General features: G+C 44.3%; 1 protein-coding gene and 1 long non-coding RNA gene across 9 annotated transcripts in view; one reads left to right on the top strand and one right to left on the bottom strand.

Moving 5' to 3' along the window:
* Positions 1 to 8,817, top strand: part of DDX19A-DT (DDX19A divergent transcript) — a 31,108-nt gene extending 22,291 nt beyond the window's left edge. Inside the window, exons 4-5 of the long non-coding RNA NR_039997.1 lie at positions 7,084 to 7,201; positions 8,315 to 8,817. This is a non-coding gene — a long non-coding RNA (DDX19A divergent transcript). The remainder of the gene's footprint in view (positions 1 to 7,083; positions 7,202 to 8,314) is intronic.
* The window catches only part of DDX19B (DEAD-box helicase 19B), a 45,539-nt gene that overhangs the window by 10,849 nt on the left and 11,621 nt on the right, over positions 1 to 23,069 (bottom strand). For 2 of the 8 annotated variants that reach the window (NM_001363938.1, NM_007242.7), the window contains exons 2-5: positions 11,800 to 11,848; positions 9,502 to 9,555; positions 8,353 to 8,488; positions 6,869 to 6,961 (exon numbers count right to left, since the gene is read on the bottom strand). In NM_001363938.1, the coding sequence (NP_001350867.1) occupies positions 6,869 to 6,961; positions 8,353 to 8,488; positions 9,502 to 9,555; positions 11,800 to 11,848 (332 nt within the window). The remainder of the gene's footprint in view (positions 1 to 6,868; positions 6,962 to 8,352; positions 8,489 to 9,501; positions 9,556 to 11,799; positions 11,849 to 23,069) is intronic. The other 6 variants (NM_001257172.2, NM_001014451.3, NM_001257174.2 and 3 more) reach the window with 4 other exon arrangements.

The following is a 23,069-nucleotide window of genomic DNA, read 5'->3' as shown; positions in this document are numbered from 1 at the left end:
TTCACAAGAACAGGGCACTATAGAAATAAGATTTTCTGGTGGGATTTGAAGCACTCCACATCTTCTTCTTTTTTTTTTTTTTTTTTTTTTTTTTGAGATTAGGTCTCACTCTGTTGACCAGGCTGGAGTGCAGTGGCACAATCTTGGCTCACTGCAGCCTCAACCTCCTGGGCTCAAGTGATCCTCTTGCCTCAGCCTCCCAAAGTGCTGGGATTATAGGTGTGAGTCACTGCAGTTGGCCTACTGATTCTTAAAATGTGAGTCAGCTCACATTACTTCTCTGCCCAAAGACCTTCCAATAATTCCTCGTTTCATTCAGAGTACAAGTTGAAACCCTCATAATGGCATACAGGTCCTGCATGATCTGCTCCCCATTACACCTCAGCTCTCATTTCCTACTACTCTCTCTCCCTTACTTCGTTCCACCACAGGGCCCTAGTACTGCTCAGAGAACATGCCAGTCATGCTCTTGTCTTAGGGCTTCTGCCTTGGCTGTGCTCTGCTTGGGACAACTGTCCCCAGATAACATGCTAACTCCCTTCTCTCCTTCAAGTCTTTGCCCAGATATCTACTTCAGGAGATCCTACCTTAACCACTTGATTTAAAAGTGTAATCTACCTTGAAATGCCTAAAAAAAACAAGATGTAGGTTTTGGTAGCAGGGTAGGGGGTAAGAGTGGCAAGAACCAAGTCTTGCCTTGAAGGTGGCAAGAAGCAGCTCAAGAAGCAGGCAAGGCCAGGCGCGGTGGCTCATGCCTGCAATCCCAGAACTTTGGGAGGCCGAGGTGGGTGGATCATTCGAGGTCAGGAATTTGAGACCAGCCTGGCCAACATGGTAAAACCCTGACTCTACTAAAAATACAAAAATTAGCCAGGCATGGTGGTGGGCGCCTGTAGTCCCAGCTCCTTGGGAGGCTGAGGCAGGAGAATCGCTTGAACCCACGAGGCAGAGGTTGCAGTGAGCCGAGATCGCGCCACTGTACTCCAGCCTGGGTGATAGAGCGAGACTCAGTGTCAAAAAAAAAAAAAGAAAAAAGAAAAAAAGCAGGCAAGGTCAGGTGCAGTGGCTCATGCCTGCAATCTCAGCACTTCGGGAGGTTGAGGTGGGTGATTTCTTGAGCCTAGGAGTTTGAGACCAGCCTGGGCAAAATACCGAAACCCTTTCTCTACAAAAGATACAAACATTAGCTGGACATGGTGGTACATACCTGAAGTCCCAGCTACCTGGGAGGCTGACATGTGAGGATCTCTTGAGCCCAGGAGGTGGAGGGTGGAGGTTGCAGGCTGCAGTGAGCTGAGACTGCACCACTGTACTCCAGCCCTGGTGACAGAGCAAGACCCTGTCTCAAAAAAACAAAAAACAAAAAACGGAGCAGCCGCAGCAGGCCAAAGATATGGACGAGGAAAATGAGGTCTTCCGGCAGGGGAAAAAACAAACAAACAAACAGAAGAAACATGAACTAAAAGTGAAACCATGGGGAGGGCCCCCGGCCACAGGTGGAATTTTAAAATCTGGCAAAAGTAAGCTGTTCCTTATGGGGACTTTTTTTTTTTTTTTTTTTTTTTGCAACGGAGTTTCACTGTTGTCACCGAGCTGGAGTGCAAAGGCGCGATCTGAGCTCACTGCAGCCTCTGCCTCCCAGGTTCAAGCAATTCTTCTGCCCCAGCCTCCAGAGTAGCTGGGATTACAGATGCCTGCCACCACGTCTGGCTAATTTTTGTATTTTTAGTAGAGATGGGGTTTCACCATGTTGGCCAGGCTGGTGAACTGCTGACCTCAGGTGATCCACTTGCCTTGGGCCTCCCAAAGTGTTGGGATTACAGTCGTGAGCCACCACGCCCGGCCTTTTTTTTTTTTTTTTTTTTTTTGAGACAAGGTCTCACTTTGTCGCCCAGACTGGAGTGCAGTGGCACAATCTCAGTTCACTGCAACCGCCACTATGCGGATTCCAAGCAATTCCGGAGCCTCAGCCTCCTGAGTAGCTGGGACTGGTATGCACCACCATGCATGGCTATTTTTGTGTTTTTTTTGTAGAGATGGGTTTCGCCATGTTGGCCAGGCTGGTCTTGAACTCCTGACCTCAAGTGATCCGCCCACTTCAGCATTCCAGAGTCCTGGGATTACAGTTGTAAGCCACTGCGCCCAGCCGCCACACCGGTAACTCTTGATTCTATTTCTGTTTAAACATCTAGATTCCCTGTCAAAACATCTGTTGCCCCTTGTAGTTAGAATAAAGTGTTGTATATTTAATTTCTTTTTTAATTTTGCCCTTTAATACAGATGAGGTCTTACTGTGCTGCCCAGGCTGGTCTCAAACTCCTGGGCTCAAGCCATCTGCCTGCCTTGGCCTCCCAAATTGCTGGGATAACAGGCATGAGCCACTATGCCTGGCCAAAATTTATTATTAATTTTTTTTTTTTTTGAGACGGAATCTCACTCTGTCGCCCAGGCTGGAGTCCAATGGCGCGATCTCAGCTCACTGCAACCTCCGTCTCCCAGGTTCAAGCGATTCTTTTGCCTCAGCCTCCCGAGTAGCTGGGATTACAGGCACGTGCCACCATGCCCAGCTAATTTTTTGTATTTTTAGTAGAGATGGGGTTTCACCATGTTGGCCAGCCTGGTCTCGAACTCCTGACCTCAAATGATCTGCCTGCCTCGGCCTCCCAAAGGGCTGGGATTACAGGCGTGAGCCACCACGCCTGGCCAAAATTTATTTTTATTTGAAGTAAAAAATATATGTCATAAAATTTGCCCTTTTACCCACTTTTAAGTGTACTATTCAGTGGCATTAATGTTTGTAATTTATCACCTGTTATATTTTAATAAAAATGAATTAGCTATATTTCAAACTAGAACATAAGCTCCTTGTGGGCAGGAATTTTGGTCTGCGTTGTTGACTAATGTATCCAAGTGCCTAGCATAGTATCTGTTATATAACAGGCACTCAATAAATATTTGTTAATGATGAAAGGTAGTAGATAATTCTAGTAATAATGCTGGTCTCTTCTAATACTGTCAATCTAAAAATGAGCTTCTTGGCTAGGCCCAATGGCTCATGCCTGTAACCCTAGCACTTTGGGAAGGCAAGGTGGGAAGCGTGCTTGAGCGTAGGAGTTCAAGACAAGTCTGGGCAACAAAGTAAGACCCCATCTCCACCAAAAGAAAACCCCAAAACAAAACAAAAAAAAGCCTGAAGGCCGGGCGCAGTGGCTCACGCCTGTGATCCCAGCACTTTGGGAGGCTGAGGCAGGCGGATCACCTGAGGTTGGGAGTTCGAGACCAGCCTGATTAACATGGAGAAACCCCATCTCTACTAAAAATACAAAATTAGCCAGGCATGGTGGCACATGCCTGTAATCCCAGCTACTTGGGAGGTGGAGGCAGGAGAATCGCTTGAACCTGGAAGGCAGAGATTGCGGTGAACCGAGATCGCGCCATTGCACTCCAGCCTGGGCAACAAGAGCGAAACTCCGTCTCAAAAAAAAAAAAAAAAAAAGCCTAGTGTGGTGCCTCATACCTGTAATCCCAACACTTTGGGGGGTTTGAGACCAGCCTGGGCAACATAGCACAACTCTGTCTCTGATAAAAATATAAAAATTAGGCCGGGCACGATGGCTCACGCCTGTAATCTCAGCACTTTGGGAGGCCAAGGCGGCTGGATCACGAGGTCAGGAGTTCAAGACCAGCCTGGCCAACATGGTGAAACCCCATCTCTACTAAAAATACAAAAAAAAAATTAGCTGGGCATGGTGGAGCGTGCCTGTAATCCCAGCTACTCCGGAGGCTGAGGCAGGAGAATTACTTGATCCAGGACCTGGGAGGTGGTGGTTACAGTGAGCCAAGATCACGCCACTGCACTCCAGCCTGGGCTACAGAGCGAGACTCTGTCTCAAAAAAAAAAAAATTGTATAAAAATTAGCCAGGCATGGTGGCTTGCACCTGTGGCCCCCGCTACTTGGGTGGGAGGCCGAGGTGGGAGGATTGCTTACGCCCAGGAGGCAGAGGTTGCAGTGAGCCAAGATGGTGCCAGTGCACCTAGCCTGGATAACAGAGTGAGACCCTGTCTCAAAAAAAAAAAAAAAAAACTGGGGGAGGCCAAGGTGGGAGGATTGCTTGAGGCCACGAGATTAAGACCAGTCTGGGCAACATAGCAAGACCCCATCTCTATTAAATAAAGAAACTTAGCCAGGCATGGCAGCACGTGCCTGTAGTCCTAGCTACCTGGGAGGCTGAGGCAGGAGGATTGCTTATGTCCAGGTGCTCAGGGTGCAGTGAGCTATGACTACACTGCTGTACTCCTGCCTAGGTGACAGAGTGAGACCTTATCTCCCAGAAAAAAAAAAAGTTAGCATCTACAAAAATATTAGATCCACAAATATAAATGATCAATCAGTATGAAACCATGTAATAAATACTCCATTTATTTACCCTAAGCATGCTCAAAGTGCCAAGCTTAAAAAAAGACACTATCCATCTGGAGAAAATGTCACTGTTATGACACAGAACAAAAAACTTTGAGAAAGTACAGACCTAAAATATCTATTTTTATTTTTATTTATGATTTTTTGAGACAGGGTCTCACTCTTGCTCAGGCTGGAGGGCAGTGGCACAATCTTTGCTCACTGTAGCCTCAATCTTCTGGGCTCAGGTTATCCTCCTACTTCAGCCTCCCTAGTAGCTAGGACTACAGGCACATGCCACCATACTTGGCTACTTTTTTATATTTATAGTAGAGACAGGGTCTCACCATGTTGCCCAGGCTGGTCTCGAACTCCTGGGCTCAAGCGATCTGCCTGCCTCGGCCTCTCAAAGTATTGGGATTACAGGCATGAGCCACCACACTTGCCCTAAAATATCTATTTTTAGACAAAAAAAAAAAAGAGATTCAGAATTTAGCATTATATGCAGAATTGTATATAATCATATAAAATATAGGATCAATCTGTATTAAAATTCCATCATGCTCTAGAATCTTGTACTCAGAATGTGATCTGAAACCAGCAGCATCAGCATCACCTGCAAGCTTATTAGAAATGTTGACACTCAGTCCCCACTTAGACCTACTAAATTCAGACCCTGCATTTTAATAAATGTCTATGAGATTTGTATGCCTATGAAAGTGGGAGATGCCCTGCACCAGGAAACCACCTTAGTAACTGTATTATTCAGGTCTCCTAGAGCTGTTTGGCTTCTATTATATTTGACACAATAGCTTTTATATATCAATACAATGAAATCATGGTGCATATACGATATAAACTTATATTTACCAACATAGGAAGATGATCATATAATTAAAAAACACAGCATGTAAAACATTATTTATATGTCACCTTTTTTTGTTTGTTTGTTTGAGATGGAGTCTCGCTCTGTTGCCCAGGCTGGAGTGCAGTGGCGTGATCTCGGCTCACTGCAAGCTCCGCCTCCCAGGTTCATGCCATTCTCCTGCCTCAGCCTCCCATGTAGCTGGGACCACAGGCGCCCACCACCACGCCCAGCTAATTTTTTGTATTTTTAGTAGAGATGGGGTTTCACCGTGTTAGCCAGGATGGTCTCGATCTCCGGAGCTTGTGATCCACCTGGCTAGGCCTCCCAAAGTGCTGGGATTACAGGCATGAGCCACTGCTCCCGGCCATATGTCAACTTTTTTTTTTTTTTTTGAGATGGAGTTTTGCTTTTGTTGCCCAGGCTGGAGTGCAATGGCATGATCTCAGCTCACTGTAACCCCTGCCTCCCAGGTTCAACCGATTCTCCTGCCTCAGCCTCCCAAGTAGCTGGGTTTACAGGCGCCTGCCACCACACCAGCTAATTTTTTTTTTGTATTTTTAGTAGAGACAGGGTTTAGCCATGTTGGTCAGCCTGGTCTCAAACTCCTGACGTCAGGTGATCCACCTGCCTCGGCCTCCCAAAGTGCTGGGATTATAGGCATGAGCCACCACCCCGGTCATATATGTCAACTTTTTTAAAAGTTATATGTTTACATAGAGAAAAGTCTAGAAGTCTCCACTCCAAAATGTTAATAATGTGGGGAGAGGGAGATTACAGATGATTTTTTTTCTTTTCTTTTTTTTTTTTGCATTTTTGAGATGGAGTCTCACTCTGTTGCCCAGGCTGGAGTGCACTGGTGTGATCTCAGCTCCCTGTAGCCTCCACCTCCGGGGTTCAAGCGATTCTCGTGCCTCAGCTTCCCGAGTAGCTGGGACTACAGGAGCACACCATGACACCTGGCTAACTTTTGTATTTTTTTAGTAGAGTCGGGTTTCATCATGTTGGCCAGGCTGGTCTCGAACACTTGACCTCAAGAGATCCTCCTGCCTTGGCCTCCCAAAGTGTTGGGATTACAGGCATGAGCCACTGCACCTGGCCCCCTTGACTTTTTTTTTTTTTTTTTTGAGACAAAGTCTCGCTCTGTCACCCAGGCTGGAGTGCAGTGACATGATCTCGGCTCACTGCAACCTCTGCCTCCCGGGTTCAAGCAAATCTTGTGCCTCAGCCTCCTCTTTTTCTCTTTCGAGACAGGGTCTTTCTTTGTTGCCCAGAATGGAGTACAATGGTATGATCATGGTTCACTGCAACCTCAAACTCCTGGGCTCAAGTGATCCTCCTGCCTCAGCCTCCTGAGTAGCTGGGACTACAGCTGCATGCCACCATGCCTGGCCAAGTTTATAACGTTTTTTTTTTTGTTGAGACAGGGTCTTGCTACATCGCCCAGGCTGGTCTTGAACTCCTGGCCTGAAACGATCCTCCTGCCTTGCCTCTCAGGTTGCTGGGATTATAGGCATAAGCCACCTTGCTGGCCTGTGAAAATAATAATAGTTTTCAAAAATAGAAAATCTAAAATGAAATGGAGTTGTAATAGGACACATACGGCTCAGCAAGCATCAGTGGCAATGCGTTCTCTTGTATCTTGGATGGACGATTGAAACCCATGGCATAGACTCCTTGGAGAAGCTGTGGTTTCCTAGAAAAACAGTTAAAGATGAAAGTCACAGTCTCTTTGGTTGAGGAAAGCAGCAAAATATCTGGAGGATTTTTCTCTTTTACTGTTTACACATAGTTTTTTGTTTGTTTGTTTTTGAGCAGAGTCTCGATCTATTGCCCAGGCTGCAGTGCAAAGGTGCAGTCTCGGCTCACTGCAACATCCACCTTCCGGGTTCAAGCAATTCTCGTGCCTCAGCCTCGCGAATAGCTGGGATTACAGGTACATGGCACCATGCCCCGCTAATTTTTTTTTTTTTTTTTTTTTTTTGAGACAGAGTCTCGCTCTGTCACCCAGGCTGGAGTGCAGTGGCGCGATCTCGGCTCACTGCAACCTCCGTCTCCCAGGTTCACGCCATTCTCCTACCTCAACCTCCTGAGTACCTGGTACTACAGGCACCCGCCAACATGCCCTGCTAATTTTTTTTGTATTTTTAGTAGAGATGGGGTTTCACCATGTTAGCCAGGATGATCTCAATCTCTGGACCTCGTGATCTACCTGCCTCAGCCTCCCAAAGTCCTGGGATTACAGGCGTGAGCCACCGTGCCTGGACTAATTTTTGTATTTTCAGTAGAGACAGGGTTTCACCATGTTGGCCACGCTGGTCTTGAACTCCTGACCTCAAGTGGTCTGCCGGCCTTAGCCTCTCAAAGTGCTGGGATTACAGGCATGAGCCACTATGCCTGGCCTACACATAGTTTGTAATCAACAATAATTGAGCTGTGGTGAACTGAATACATGTTAGTACAGCTAAAGCTTTTATCCATCATCTGGAAATTTTACTAAATATCCCAAAGCATCTACAGTATTTATGTATATTTTTTAGATGGAGTCTGGTCTCGCTATGTTGCCCAGGCTGGTCTGCAACTCCTGGCCTCAAGTGATCCTCTCACCTTGGCCTCCAAAAGTGCTGGGATTACAGGTGTGCACTACGGCACCCAGCTAAATTCTTTTATAAAACTTGGTTAGCAGCTGGGTGCGGTGGCTCATGCCTGTAATCTCAGCGCTTTGGGAGGCCGAGGCAAGTGGATCATGAGTTCAGGAGATCAAGATCAGCCTGGCCAACATAGTGAAACCCCATCTCTACTACAAATACAAAAAGTAGCCAGGCGTGGTGGTGTGCACCTGTAATCTCAGCTACTTGGGAGGCTGAGGCAGGAGAATCACTCGAACCCAGGAGGCGGAGGTTGCAGTGAGCCGAGATCGCGCTACTGCACTCCAGCCTGGGCAACAGAGTGAGACTCTGTCTCGAAAAAAAAAAAAAAACTTGGTTAGCTAAAACTGCTCTGTTGTGGTCAAAAGATATCTATAACAGACCTAGGATCTCTATTTCAGTGCAAAGGGGAAGAGTCAGAAGGTGAATAAATACTCACAGCCGAAGCTCTTCAAAAGACTTCACCGAGTACAGAGGGGAGTTTGGATCCCGCTGCAGGACTTCCACTTGGTTTGTGTTATCAACAAGGTTGCTTCTGATCAGCTTGTTGAGTAAGGACTGGGCAGCTCTGTCCTCTGTCAGGAAAAAGAAAGCAAAGAATTTTAAAAAGTCCTTGAAACCTACCAGGCGTTTACTCTAATTCAACTGCCATTTGTATTTTAAATAATAATGTACTGAACATTCAAATTCAAGGTACGTCATAGTTTTGACTTATAAATTAAAATAGTTTTATTAAAGAAAAAAGTTATGATACATCACCCATTTAGGCCTCATATTCTTTTCCAGACTCTATTCTAACAGCCCTCTTTTCCTGCAGTTATCTATTCCTCCTATCCAGACCCACATATTTACTCCCCAATTTGTACTATATATAAACCTAAAGTAATTAATGTAGCAATCACAACAATAAAAAAAAAAACAGGAATTAACAAAGTCTGTACCTTAATATTGGACAAGTTGGTCTCGTCATCCATGTCAAATGTGTCAAAATAACATTAAGCTTAATTTTACTGGACAATAGAGATGCAACTGAAAATTTTTTATAATGCCCTATTCAACTGTTCAGTTGTTAAATGTAAAATTTCTCTAAACGTAAACCATTAGAACTCCTTCACCTACTGACTATTTATATTGAACTTTTTTTTTTTTTTTTTTTTGAGACAGAGTCTCGCTCTTTCGCCCAGGCTAGAGTGCAGTGGCTCGATCTCGGCTCATGGCAAGCTCTGCTTCCCGGGTTCATGCCATTCTTCTGCCTCAGCATCCCAAGTAGCTGGGACTACAGGCGTCTGCCACCATGCCCGGCTAATTTTTTTTTTTTTTTTTGTATTTTTAGTGGAGACGGGTTTTCACCGTGTTAGCCAGGATGGTCTCGATCTCCTGACCTCGTGATCTGCCCACCTCGGCCTCCCAAAGTGCTGGGATTACAGGTGTAAGCCACCGTGCCCGGCCCCTATATTGAACCTTTATGCTAGCACTGTATCGCCTATTAAAGTCAAGCCAAACTGGGTATAAAAATGAAGCCTCATAACAATCCACTTTCTTAGAATGTAGAAGCTTGTTATTATATAAAGCTCCACGGCTGTGTTACCTTTCTCTTCTTCATCTGTCTTCTCTGCATTGGCATTGGTCTTGACAACAGCACCTTTATAGACACAAAGTGGCCATCATTCAAAATCGCATCCCATACCCAACAGTTGAGACAATTCAAATTCTATGACACTAGAAGTTTTTGTAAAGGCCTGGGGAGCAAAAAATAAATGAGGAAACCGAGCCGCTGATAAAAACATTTTATTGTCCCTAAATAAACAAAGGTGTAAAACACTGTTGCTCACATATATATATATATAGATAGATATTTATTTTATTATTTATTTATTTTTGAGATGGAGTCTCGCTCTGTCGCCCAGGCTGGAGTGCAGTGGTGCGATCTCAACTCACTACAAGCTCTGCCTCCCAGGTTCACGCCATTCTCTTGCCTCAGCCTCCCGAGTAGCTGGGATTACAGGCACCCGCCACCACGCCCAGCTAATTTTTTTTGTATTTTTAGTAGAGACAGGGTTTCACCATGTTAGCCAGGCTGGTCTTGATCTCTTGACCTCGTGATCCGCCTGCCTTGGCCTCCCAAAGTGCTGGGATTACAGGCGTGAGCTACCGCGCCCGGCCTCTGTTGCTCATATTCTTTCCTATTCTAGGTCTCCTCTCCGTACCTCAAAACCTGTTATTTCCCTCATTGAATCAATACTTCTTAAATATTATAGAAAGATTAGAGCAATTAGTGATCAGAAACCACCTTGATGCTCAACAGAGGAATATCTATGCAAATCGTATTTTATCAATAGGTGAACACAATAATGCCATTAAAATTCATGTATATAACAAATGAGCAGTAAGACCAACAAAAAAAATTCATGCATATAAATTTTTTTTTTCTTTTTTTGAGATGCAGTCTCACTCTTACCCAGCCTGGAGTGCAGTGGTGCGATCTCAGCTCACTGCAACCTCTGCCTCCCAGGTTCAAGAGATTCCACTGTTTCAGTATCCTGAGTAGCTGGGATTACAGGGGTGCACCACCACACCTGGCAAATGTTTGTATTTTTAGTAGAGATGGGGTTTCACCATGTTAGTCAGGCTGGTTTCAAACTCCTGACCTCAGGTTATCCGCCAGCCTTGGCTTCCCAAAGTGCTGGGATTACAGGTGTGAGCCACCACACCCGGCCTATAAATTGATTAATATAAATTTATAGTCGAATGATACTGTGGTTATATAAAATCATACAAAAAAGATTTAAGTGAATTTTGAGAAAGGCAAATGTTACATTTCCTTCCTGTAATATTAAGTACATCAACAATAATTTAATGGAAATCTTAACTTTGGATAAATATGATTTCAGAATAATTAGGATAGGTAAACTGTCAGATTGCTCATACTTTGTCTATCTCATCCCAAATTGAGAACATTAAGAAAAAAATTAGTCTTTGTCAATGTAGTCCGATGGTTAGTAATTAGTCCCACTTAAGTAGCCTCATTCTTTGTTCCCCCCACACCCTTGCTATCAGTGTGCAATCCTCATTCTTGTATTAAAAACACTTTGAAACCAGGTGTAATATCTCACTCCTGTAATCCCAGCACTTTGGGAGGCTGAGGCGGGAGGACTGCTTGAGCCTAGGAGTTAGAAACCAACCTGGGCAACACAGGGAGTCCTCATCTCTATAAAAAAACAAAAATACCTGGGCACAGTGGCTCACACCTATAATCCCAGCACTTTGGGAGGCCAAGGCCGGTGGATCATGAGGTCAGGAGATTGAGACCATCCTGGCTAACACAGTGAAACCCCATCTCTACTAAAAATACAAAACATTAGCCAGGCGTGGTGGCAGGTGCCTGTAGTCCCAGCTACCCGGGAGGCTGAGGCAGGAGAATGGTGTGAAGCCGGGAGGTGGAGCTTACAGTGAGCCGAGATCGAGCCACTGCACTCCAGCCTGGGCAACAGAGCGAGACTCTGTCTCAAAAAAATAAAAAATAAAAAATAAAAATTAGTTGGGCGTAGTGGGTTGTGCCTGTAGTCCCAGCTACTCAGGAGGCTGAGGTGGAGGATCACTTGAGTCTGGGAGGTTGAGGCTCCAGTGAACCATGATTGAACCACTGCACTCCAGCCTGGGCAACAGAGCAAGACCCTGTCTCTTAAAAAGTAAACAGAAACAAAAAAATAAATAAAAACACTTTGGTCATACAATCCAGTTTGTTGATTTACAAATCAAATGGTACCAGTATCTGCCAATGCCCTGCCTGGTACAAATACAAATTTTTTTCCAGACAGTTGTTATGCCAAAACAAAAATACTGAAGGAAATCACATTTGTTTTCAAACTAGCTATTAGTTACTTACCATTGGTATCTGGTTTGATTTTCTCTTCCTTAAGATGCAAGTTGCTCAACTAAATGGAGAATATGGGGGAGGGGGAAAGTGTCAGGAAAAGCACTTAAAAAGATTTGGAATCAACAGAGCCTCCCTAATGAAGCTGGGGATAAAATAGCCATTCTCAAGGTATATTCATTAGGACCAATTCATTGGGTTGTTCCGTTTACTAAATGTCTGATGAGAATAAACAAAATTTCCCGTAAATACATCGGTGGAAAAAAATGCTCCAAATCTGTACCTTCTACTTAAAATTCTGTGAGAGAATTGTAATTTGTGAGTTTGCTTAATGCCCTGATTATAAACTTTCTCTCTTTGTAGAATATCATTAGAGTTGTCATTCTCTCATATTTCTTTTGTGTGTGGGGGGGAATCGCTGCATTCCAAATCATATTTCAAACAAGAGGAAATTTAAAGAGATTTTGAAAAATGCAGTCATACTTTGGAGAACACTGGGAAGGGAGGACTGTGATGAAAAGCATCTGTAAAGCCAGGTGCGGTGGCTCGCGCCTGTAATCCCAACACTTTGGGAGGCTCAGGCAGGCAGATCACGAGGTCAAGAGATCGAGACCATCCTGGCCAACATGGTGAAACCCCGTCTCTACCAAAAATACAAAAATTAGCTGGGCGTGGCGGTGCATGCCTGTAGTGCCAGCTACTTGGGAGGCTGAGGCAGGAGAATCGCTTGAACCCAGGAGGCGGAGGTTGCAGTGAGCCAAGATCACGCCACTACACCCCAGCCTGGCAACAGAGTGAAACTCCGTCTCACAAAAAAAAAAAGAAAAGAAAAGAAAAGAAAAGCATCTGTGGGTAGGAATCAGTCATACTGCAGGATACGTTAGAGCCGTAAGACCACAGTATGCTGATGTGCAGCCTCACATTCAAGTCACCTTTTGCTGGTGTCTGATACTGTAGTTGGGAACAGCCTGAAGCATTGTGGCACACTGTGTAATTAAAATACCCACTGGGCTGAAGTGGAAATAGAAAGGAAAGAGACATTTCAAAGAATAATTACTAAGACTTTGATCAAATACTGTATATTAGGGATATCCTAGCAGGTCTTATCTCCTCTATTAGAATGCAAATACCTTCCTGACAGGGCCTATTTCGTTTTCTACTGCTCCTTGAGGAGCAGGGCTACCCCACAGGAAATGTGCCCAGAGTAGCATATTTCTATTTTTGGCCTTTGGATGTAGTACAGAGCAAAGTAAGTGCTCTAGTCGTAAATTTTTTGTTTGTTTGTTTTTTGAGACAGAGTCTTGCTCTGTCACCTGGACTGGAGTGTAGGGGCGCGATCTCAGCTCACTGCAAGCTCTGCCTTCCGGGTTCACGCCATTCTACTGCCTCAGCCTCCCGAGCAGCTGAGACTACAGGCGCCCGCCACCACGCCCGGCTAATTTTTTGTATTTTCTTTTTTTTTAAGAGATGGGGTTTCACGGTGTTAGCCAGGATGGTCTTGATCTCCTGACCTCGTGATCCGCCTGCCTCAGCCTCCCAAAGTGCTGGGATTACAGATATGAGCTGCCACGCCCGGCCTTTCTAGTCGTACATTTTTATTAAAAACAAAACAAAACAAAAAAGCCTTTTTTTTTTTTTTGAGACAGAGTCTCGCTCTGTTGCCCAGGCTGGAGTGCAGTGGCCTGATCTCAGCTCACTGTAAGCTCCGCCTCCCGGGTTCATGCCATTCTCCTGCCTCAGCCTCCGGAGTAGCTGGGACTACAGGCGTCCGCTACCACCCCCAGCTAATTTTTTTGTATTTTTAGTAGAGGCAGGGTTTCATCATGTTAGCCAGGATGTTCTCAATCTCCTGACCTCGTGATCTCCCTGCCTCGGCCTCCCAAAGTGCTGGGATTACAGGCATGAGCCACCGCACCTGGCCAAAAAAGACTTTTTTAAAGGTCAGAAAGCATCTGTAAGTCTTGGACCCCAGCACAGGGATTAGATAGATGGAAAGTCTGGCGTGAGTAAGTAACCTTTCAAGCTAAAGCCAACCCTAATCATAAAATATCAAGCAGGGCCTAAGACATCATCTAGTAAAAAGAAAATGAAAATCACAACCTAATGGTTCTTTCTTTTTTTTCTGCAGACGAGGTCTCACTCTGTTGGCCAGGCTGGAGTGGTGCAGTGGCATGATCATGGCTCATTGAAGCCTCAACCTCCTAAGGCTCAGGCAATCCTCCTGCCTTAGCCTCCCAAGTAGCTGAGACTACAGGCACTCACCACCATGTCCAGCTAATTTTTTTTTTTTGAGGCGGAGTCTTGCTCTGTTGCCAGGATGGAGTGCAGTGGTGTTATCTCAGATCACTGCAACCTCCGCCTCCTGGGTTCAAACGATTCTCCTGCTTCAGCCTCCCAAGTAGCTGAGACTACAGGCATGCACCACCATGCCCAGCTAATTTTTGTATTTTTAATAGAGACAGGGTTTCACCACATTGGCCAGGATGGTCTCAATCTCTTGACCTCATGATCCGCCCACCTTGGCCTCCTAAAGTGCTGGGATTACAGGCATGAGCCACTGCGCCCAGCCTGCCCAGCTAATCTTTTATTGTAGAGTTGGGATCTTACTGTGTTGCTCAGGCTGGTCTTGAGCTCCTGGGCTCAAGCGATCCTCCTGCCTCAGCCTCCCAAAGTGCTAGAATTATAAGTGTGAACTACGCATTAGGCCGCATTTCTGTTGTCCCTCTAAGTCCAAGAACAGGCGAAAGGGGAAGGAGGGTAGAGAGGAGAGAACAAAAAAATGTTTTAATTGGTGGTTTGTTGAGAATGGAGGAGCCCCATTTCTATTTCTCTTTTTTTTTTTTTTTTTTTTTGAGACGGAGTCTTGCCCTGTCGCCCAGGCTAGAATGCAGTGGTACGATCTTGGCTCACTGCAACCTCCGCCTCCTGGGTTCAAGCAATTCTCCTACCCCAGCCTCCCAAGTAGCTGGGATTACAGGCGTGTGCAACTACGCACAGCTAATTTTTGAATTTTTAGTAGAGACGGGGTTTCACTATGTTGGTCAGGCTGGTCTCGAACTCTCGACCTCGTGATCCACCCGCCTCGGCCTCCCAAAGTGCTGGGATTACAGGCGTAAGCCACTGCACCCAGCCAGGAGCCCCATTTCTTTTTGTTTGTTTGTTTGTTTTGTTTTTTGAGATGGAGTCTCGCTCTGTCGCCCAGGCTGAAGTGCAGTGGCGTGATCTTGGCTCACTGCAAGCTCTGCCTCCCAGGTTCACGCCATTCTCCTGCCTCAGCCTCCGGAGTAGCTGGGACTACAGGCGCCTGCCACCATGCCCGACTAACTTTTTATATTTTTAGTAGAGACGGGGTTTCACCGTGTTAGCCAGGATGGTCTCGATCTCCTGACCTCGTGATCTGCCCGCCTCGGCCTCCCGAAGTGCTGGGATTACAGGCATAAGCCACCGCGCCCAGCCTCCCATTTCTATTCATGGAAATGGACAAGAAGTTTCTGGTCCCTTTCTGCTTTGGTGTTGGGAAAGAGGAAAAAGAAAGGGAACACATTAAAGAGATTAGAAAAAAGCAACTTAACAAAAAGGAAACCATTCAACTGGAGAAAGCCGACTGAAAAACAAACAAAAAAAAAAAGAAATCATTATAAAGCAGTAAAAATCCTTCACTAATTCTGAAGGATAAAGAATACACTAATGGGGGAGGGCAGTGGGGGACAGCATTAGGAAAAAGAGCTAATACATGTGGGGCTTAATACTTAGGTGATGGGTTGATAGGTGCAGCAAACCACCATGGTACATGTTTACCTATGTAACAAACATGCACATCCTGCACATGCACCCTAGAACTTTAAAAAAAAAAAAACAGCTGGGCACAGTGGCTCACACCTGTAATCCCAGCACTTTGGGAGGCTGAAATGGGAGGCTCCCTTGAGGCCAGGAGTTTGAGACAAGCCTGGGCAACATAGTGAGACTCCACCTCTATAAAGATTAAAAATAAAAATATTGACAGGGCATGGTGGCTTGTGACTTGAATCCCAGCACTTTTGGAGGCCGAGGAGGGAGGATCCTTGGAACTCATGGAGTTCGAGACAAGCCTGGGTAACATAGTGAGACCCCATCTCCTAAAAAATAAATAAATAGGCTGGGCATGGTGGCTCATTCCTGTAATCCCAGAGCTTTGGGAGGCTGAGGCAGGCTGATCACCTGAGGTCAGGAGTTCGAGACCAGCCTGACCAACATGGTAAAACCCTGTCTCTACTAAAAAAATATAAAAAAAATTAGCCAGGTGTGGTGGCGCAGGAGGCTGAGGCAGGAGAATCACTTGAACCTGGGAGTTGGAGGTTGCAGTGAGCCAAGATCACACCATTGCACTCCAGCTTGGGCAACAGAGTGAGACTCTGTCTTAAAAATAAATAAATAAATAGACCGGGTGTGGTGGCTCACGCCTGTAATCCCAGCACTTTGGGAGGCCGAGGCAGGTGGATCACCTGAGGTCAGGAGTTCGAGACCAGACTGGCCAACATGGTGAAAACCTGTCTCTACTAAAAATATAAAAACTAGCTGGGCATGGTGGTGGGTGCCTGTAATCCCAGCTACTCAGGAGGCTGAGGCAGGAGAATTACTTGAACCCAGGAGACAGAGGTTGCAGTGAGCCGACATGGTGCCACTGCACTCCAGCCTTGGCAGCAGAGTGAGACTCCGTCTCAAAATAAATAAATAAATAAAAATAAATACATAAATAAATAATAAATTTAAATAAATTTTAAAATAAAATAAATAAATATATTAGCTGGGCATGGTGGTATGTGCCCATAGTCCCAGCTACCAGGGAGGCTGAGGTGGGAGGATTGCTTGAGCCCAGGAGTTCCAGGTTACAGTGTGCTATGATCTTGCCACTGCATTCCAGCCTGGGTGACAGAATGAGACCCCATCTCTATTAAAAAAAATACACACATATATACACACACACACATATATACATACACACACACACACACACATATATATACATATGGCCAGATGTGATGGCTCACGCCTGTAATCCTAGTACTTTGGGAGGCCGAGATGGATGGATTGCCTGAGCTCAGGAGTTCGAGAGCACTGTGGGCAACATGATGAAACCCCATCTCTACTGAAATATGAAAAATTGGCTGGGCATGGTGGCACGTGCTTGTAATCCCACCTACTTAGGAAGCTGAGGCATGAGAATCGCTTAAACCCGGGAGGCAGAGGTTGCAGTGAGCCGAGATGGTGCCACTGCACTCCAGCCTGGGAGACAGTGCGAGACTCTTGTCTCCAAAAAATAAAAAATAAAAAAAGACATATTATTTCATAGACAATATTAATCTTAAAGATTAATGATGCAGCTGCTTTGGAAAACATCCTGGCACTTTCTCAAAAGTTAAATACAGAATTACTATATAATCCAGCAGTCCCACTTCTAGATATATACCCGAGTATTGAAACTATATGTCCACACAAAAACTTGTACATTAATCAAAAGCAGTATTATTCATAGTAGCTAAAAAGTAGAAATAATCCAAATGTCCAGAAATTGATAAGTGGATAAATAAAATGTGGTATATCCACACAATGGAATATTATTTGGCAACAATAAGGAATAAAGTACTGATACATGCTACAACTAATGAACCTTAGTTCATTATACTAAATAAAAGGAGCCAGTCACAAAGGATCACATACCGTATGTTCCCATTTATATGAAATGTTTAAAAGAGGCAAATCTAAAGAGACAGAAAGTAGATTAGTGATTGCCTAGAGCTGGGGAGTTTGTAGGGAAACAGGGAGTAACTGCTAATGTGTACAGAGTTTCCTTTTGGGGTGATGAAAATGTTCTAAAATTGACTGTGATATAAGCTACACACTTCTGAATACACCAACCATCAGTGAACTGTACACTTTAATCTCACCATAATGTCATAATAATAGGGTCTCAAGATTCTGTTTCATAAAATGCAGGAATTTGTTGTTGTAAGGTTAATAAAATGGCTAGTTTGGGCCTGCTAAAAACAGCAAGAGTTAATCATTTCATACCTGAGTTTTTATTATCACTGGATTCATTATTATGAGTTTCTGTTCTATCCAAAAGATAACTCTATGATGCAAACTCAAGCCAAAAAGAAAATGTCAAAGCTACCTACTCCTAACAAACCCTCTTAGGCACATTAATAGGTTAAAACAATGACAATTTAACCTGACCTGAATGGCCGGGTGCAGTGGCTCATGCCTATAATCCCAGCACTTTGGAAGGCCAAGGCAGGTGATAGCTTGAGCTCAGGAACTTGAGACTGCCCTGAGCAACATGGTGAAACCCTATGTCTACAAAACATACAAAAATTTGCCAGGTGTGGTGGTGCACACCTGTAGTCCCAGCTACTTGCAAGGCTGAGGTGGGAGGACTGCATGAGCCTGGGAGGTCAAGGGTGCAGTGAGCCATGTACACACCACTGCATTCCAGCCTGGGTGACAAAGTAAGACTCTATTTCAAAAACAACAACAACAACAAACAACAACAACAACAACAACAAAACTGACCTAACAAGAAGTTAGTTAAAATAGTCAAAACTCTCAGAACTAAAAAATAAAAAAAACAGGCCGGGTGCTGTGGGTCATGCCTGTAATCCCAGCACTTTGGGAGGCCGAGGCGGGCGGATCACGAGGTCAGAAGATCGAGACCATCCTGGCTAACACGGTGAAACCTCATCTCTACCAAAAAAATACAAAAAAATTAGCTGGGCATGGTGGTGGGCGCCTGTAGTCCCAGCTACTCGGGAAGCTGAGGCAGGAGAATGGCGTGAACCCAGGAGGTGGAGCTTGCAGTGAGCCGAGATTGCGCCACTGCACTCCAGCCTGGGCGACAGAGTGAGACTCTGTCTCAAAAAATAAATACATAAAAATTTAAAAAATAATAATTAAAAAAACAAAAAACCTCTCAGAACTACTTGAAACACATATTTATCTCTACGTTGACTAATGATGTGTTTTTTTTCTAAGTGTATATTGTGCCTTGAGATATTGGCTAATAAAAATATGAAGCCAGCACACACAAGCACAGGAAAGCATTATTTCATTTTTATCTCAGCCTTTATTACTTTTTTATTTGCTTTACAATGTACATAATATATTTAATAAAACAGTAAAGTATGCAATTTCTAAATAGATATTTACATATTGAGAGTGAATGATCAAAAGTTTCTTTGCAACAAATAACAAACTACACAGTTCATTTACTCAGTTAACAATGCCTGCCAGGTTAGGCATGAGAAATGCTCAAATGGATAAGGACCACAGTTAAGGGAGGGGATGCCATAATGAAAACAGAAGCATTAAGTGGAAGCAGGTATTCTGGGTCCTGAGACCTCCCTCACCCTTTCCTCCACCTAGATTCCAGAACACTGAGTCAGACCTCCACCATCTAGGCAGGAGTTTAGAGGATCCCTCTCTGCAAAATCTGGCCAGACCGGGAGGAAAGTTCTCAGGATGCTGACATAGACCACTAAAGATATATAGTTAAGGTCAGAATAGACAAGCCCCACTCATGTGTTTACAGCTTCCACTCAACTTTTTAGTCACTCACTCTTAAATATGAGTGGCCAAGCAAGGATTACAGACATCTGAGAAACAGTCATCACAAAAAAGTAGACACTGAAATATATGGATAAAACACGCCTCACATGAAACAGAGACTGAGCAGAGAGAAGAAGAAAAATATCCTCCAAATGATGAGGATATTATGACCATGAAAGCCGTACAGGGTATTGTCTGTAAAAAAGGAACAGTAAAGGAAGAAGAAAAAAGTTCCTGAAATTAAAAATAAGAAAGTAGAAGTGAAAATGAAATATACCAGACAGTACTTGAGAAAATCTCCCAGGAAATATAGAAAGAAAGAAAGAAAAAAAAAAGAGACAAAGATGAAAAACAGAAGAAAAAAGAAAACCAAAGGACTTTTAAACGAATGGTGCTGGAACAATTAAGACAGCTCTGGCCAGGAGTGGTGGTTCACGCCTGTAATCCCAGCACTTTGGGAGGCCAAGGCGGATGGATCACCTGAGGTCAGGGGTTTGAGACCAGCCTGGCCAACATGGTGAAACCCTGTCTCTACTAAAAATACCAAAAGTAGCCAGGCTTGGTGGCAGGCGCCTGTAATCCCAGCTACTCGGGGGACTAAGGCAGGAGAATCGCTTGAACCTGGGAGGTGGAGGTTGCAGTGAGCTGAGATCACGCCACTGCACTCCAACCTGGGGGACAAGAGCAAGACTTTGTCTCAAAAAAAAAAAAAAAAAGACATCTCTGTGAAAAAGATGAACAGATGAACCTCGGCCAGGCACGGTGGCTCACGCCTGTAATCAAGCACTTTGGGAGGCCGAGGCGGGCAGATCATGAGGTCAGCAGTTTGAGACCAGCCTGGCCAATATGGTGAAACCCTGTCTCTACTAAAAATACAAAAATTAGCTGGGCATAGTGGTGGGTGCCTGTAATCCCAGCTACTAGGGAAGCTGAGGCAGGAGAATTGCTTGAACCCCGGAGGCGAGGGGTTGCAGTGAGCTGAGATTGCGCCACTGCACTCCAGCCTGGGAGACAGAGCCAGACTCCGCCTCAAAAAAAAAAAGATGAACCTCAATGCATACCCCTTATTAGAAAAAATTTAACTCAAAATGGAAAATGGATTACAGACATAAATGTAAAATTTAAAACTATAAGACTTCTAGAGAACACAGGAGAAAATCTTTGTGGCCTTGGATAAGGTGTATATCTTGGAACACAAAAAGAACTAATCATCTAAAAATTGATAAATTAGGCCGGGCGCGGTGGCTCACGCCTGTAATCCCAGCACTTTGGGAGGCCGAGGTGGGCGGATCCCAAGATCGGGAGGTCGAGACCATCCTGGCTAACATGGTGAAACCCCATCTCTACTAAAAATACAAAAAAAAATTAGCCTGGCGTGGTGGTGGGCGCCTGTAGTCCCAGCTACTCGGGAGGCTGAGGCAGGAGAATGGCGTGAGCCTGAGAGGTGGAGCTTGCAGTGAGCCGAGATGGCACCACTGCACTCCAGCCCAGGCGACAGAGCAAGCCTCCGTCTCAAAAACAAACAAACAAACAAAAATTGATAAATTAGGTTAATCAAAGTTGAAAATGTCTATTATTTGAAAAGTACTGTTGAAAAAAGACAAGTTGTAGTTTGAGAGAATATATGCAAAACATATCCGATAAAGGACTTATCATGCCTGTAATCCATCTCAGCACTCTGGGAGGCCCAGGTGGGCGGATTGCTTGAACCCAGGTGTTCCAAGACCAGCCTGGGCAACATGGCAAAACCCTGTCTCTACAAAAAATACATACATTAGCCAGATGTGGTGGCGCATGCCTGTGGTCCCAGCTACTCTGGAGACAGGGTGGGAGAATCCCTTGAGCCCAGGAGGTGGAGGTTTCAGTGAGCCAAGATCATGCCACTGCACTCTAGCCTGACTCTAGTCTGGGTGACAGAGTGAGACCCTGTCTCAAAAAAAACAAAAACAAAAACAAAAAACAGAACTTCTATCCAGAATATATAAAGAAACTTCCCAACTAAAAACAAAAACAATCCTACTTTAAAAATGGGCAAAAGGTTTGAAAAGCCACTTCAAAGAAGTTACATACATGGCAAATAAGCACATGAAAAGATTGTCAACATCATTAGTCATTAGGGAGATATATAAGTTAAAACCACAATGAGACACCAGCATGTACCTATTAGAATGAAGGAAACTGACAATACTGTGCAGGGAAGGGTGTGGGGCAGTTGAAGCTCTCATCCATTGCTGTTGGAAAAGCAGAATGATACACTTTGGAAAATAGTTTGGCACATAACTTACAAAGTTAAACACATACGACATAACACAGTAAATCCTACTCTTTGATATTGACTTTACCCAAGAGAAATGCAAACATATGTCCATACAAAAATCTGTACCTTAATGTATAGAGTAGCTTTCTTCATATTGTCTCAGACTGAAAATTACTCAAGTGTCCATCAATAGAAGAATAAGCAAACTGTGTATATATATCCACAGTGGAATTCTACTCAGCAATAAAAAGGAATGAACTACTGATACATGCAACTTGGTTGAATTCTAAATGCATAATACTAAGTGGAAGAAGCCAGACTTTTCAAAAGGTTATATATTATATATATGATTCCATTTTATGACATGTTGGAAAAGGCAAAACTATAATGACAGAAAACATATCAGCAGCTGCCAGAGAAGGGTGAGGAGAGGGAGTGAACTACAAGAAGTTGTAGTTCTTTGTAGAGAGGGTTTATGTGTTGCCTGTGGTGGTAGTTACACAACTGTATGCTTTTGTCAAAATTCATAGAACTGTACACTAACAAAGTTTAATTTTACTCTGTGTAAATTATACCTCCATAAACCTGACTTTTAAAAAAATTAAAGGGCTGGCCAGGTGTGGTGGCTCACGCCTGTAATTCTAGGACTTTGGGAGGCTGAGGCATGCGGATCACTTGAGGTCAGGAGTTCAAGACCAGCCTGGCCAACATGGTGAAACCCCACCTCTACTAAAAATACAAAAAGTAGCCAGGCATGGTGGCACATGCCTGTAATCCCAGCTACTCGGGAGGCTGAGGCAGGAGAATCGCTTGAACTCAAGAAGCAGAGGTTGCAGTGAGCCAAGATCGTGCCATTGCACTCCAGCCTGGCGGACAAGAGCGAAACTTCATTTCAAAAAAAAAAAAAAAATTAAAGGGCCAGTCCAACAGATCCAACATTCATCTAATAAGAGTTCTGGGAAAAGCTATGCAGTGGTGCGCACCTGTAGTCCCAGCTACGAGGGAGGCTGAGGCAGGAGGATCACTTGAGCCCAGGAGTTCAAGGTTGTAGTACACTATGATTCTGCCTGTGAATAGCTACTGCACTCCAAATTGGGCAACATAGACAGACACTGTCTTAAAAAAAAAAAAAAAAGAGAGAGAGAGAAAGAAAGAGAGAAAGTGAGTTCTGGAAAAGAGGGAATTAAGAAAAAACAAAGAAGAAGAAATCAGCAATGAAATTATTCAGGAAAAGTTCTCATAACTGAAGAACAAGAGTTTTTCAGATTGAAAGTACCCACACCCAGGGGCCAGTAATATGGATGAAAATACACCCATACCAAGACATATTACCATAAATTTTCTGAATATTAAAGACAAACAGAAGATTCTCCAAGCTTAGAAAGGGGAAAACAAGTCACATCAAGAATCAGGATGGTCTCAAACATTTCAACAACAAATACAG

Source organism: Homo sapiens, chromosome 16 (genome assembly GCF_000001405.40).
Source record: "Homo sapiens chromosome 16, GRCh38.p14 Primary Assembly".
Lineage (NCBI taxonomy): Eukaryota > Metazoa > Chordata > Mammalia > Primates > Hominidae > Homo > Homo sapiens.
The sequence above is the reverse complement of the archived record's forward strand: the minus strand, read 5'-3'. Positions and strand labels throughout refer to the sequence as shown.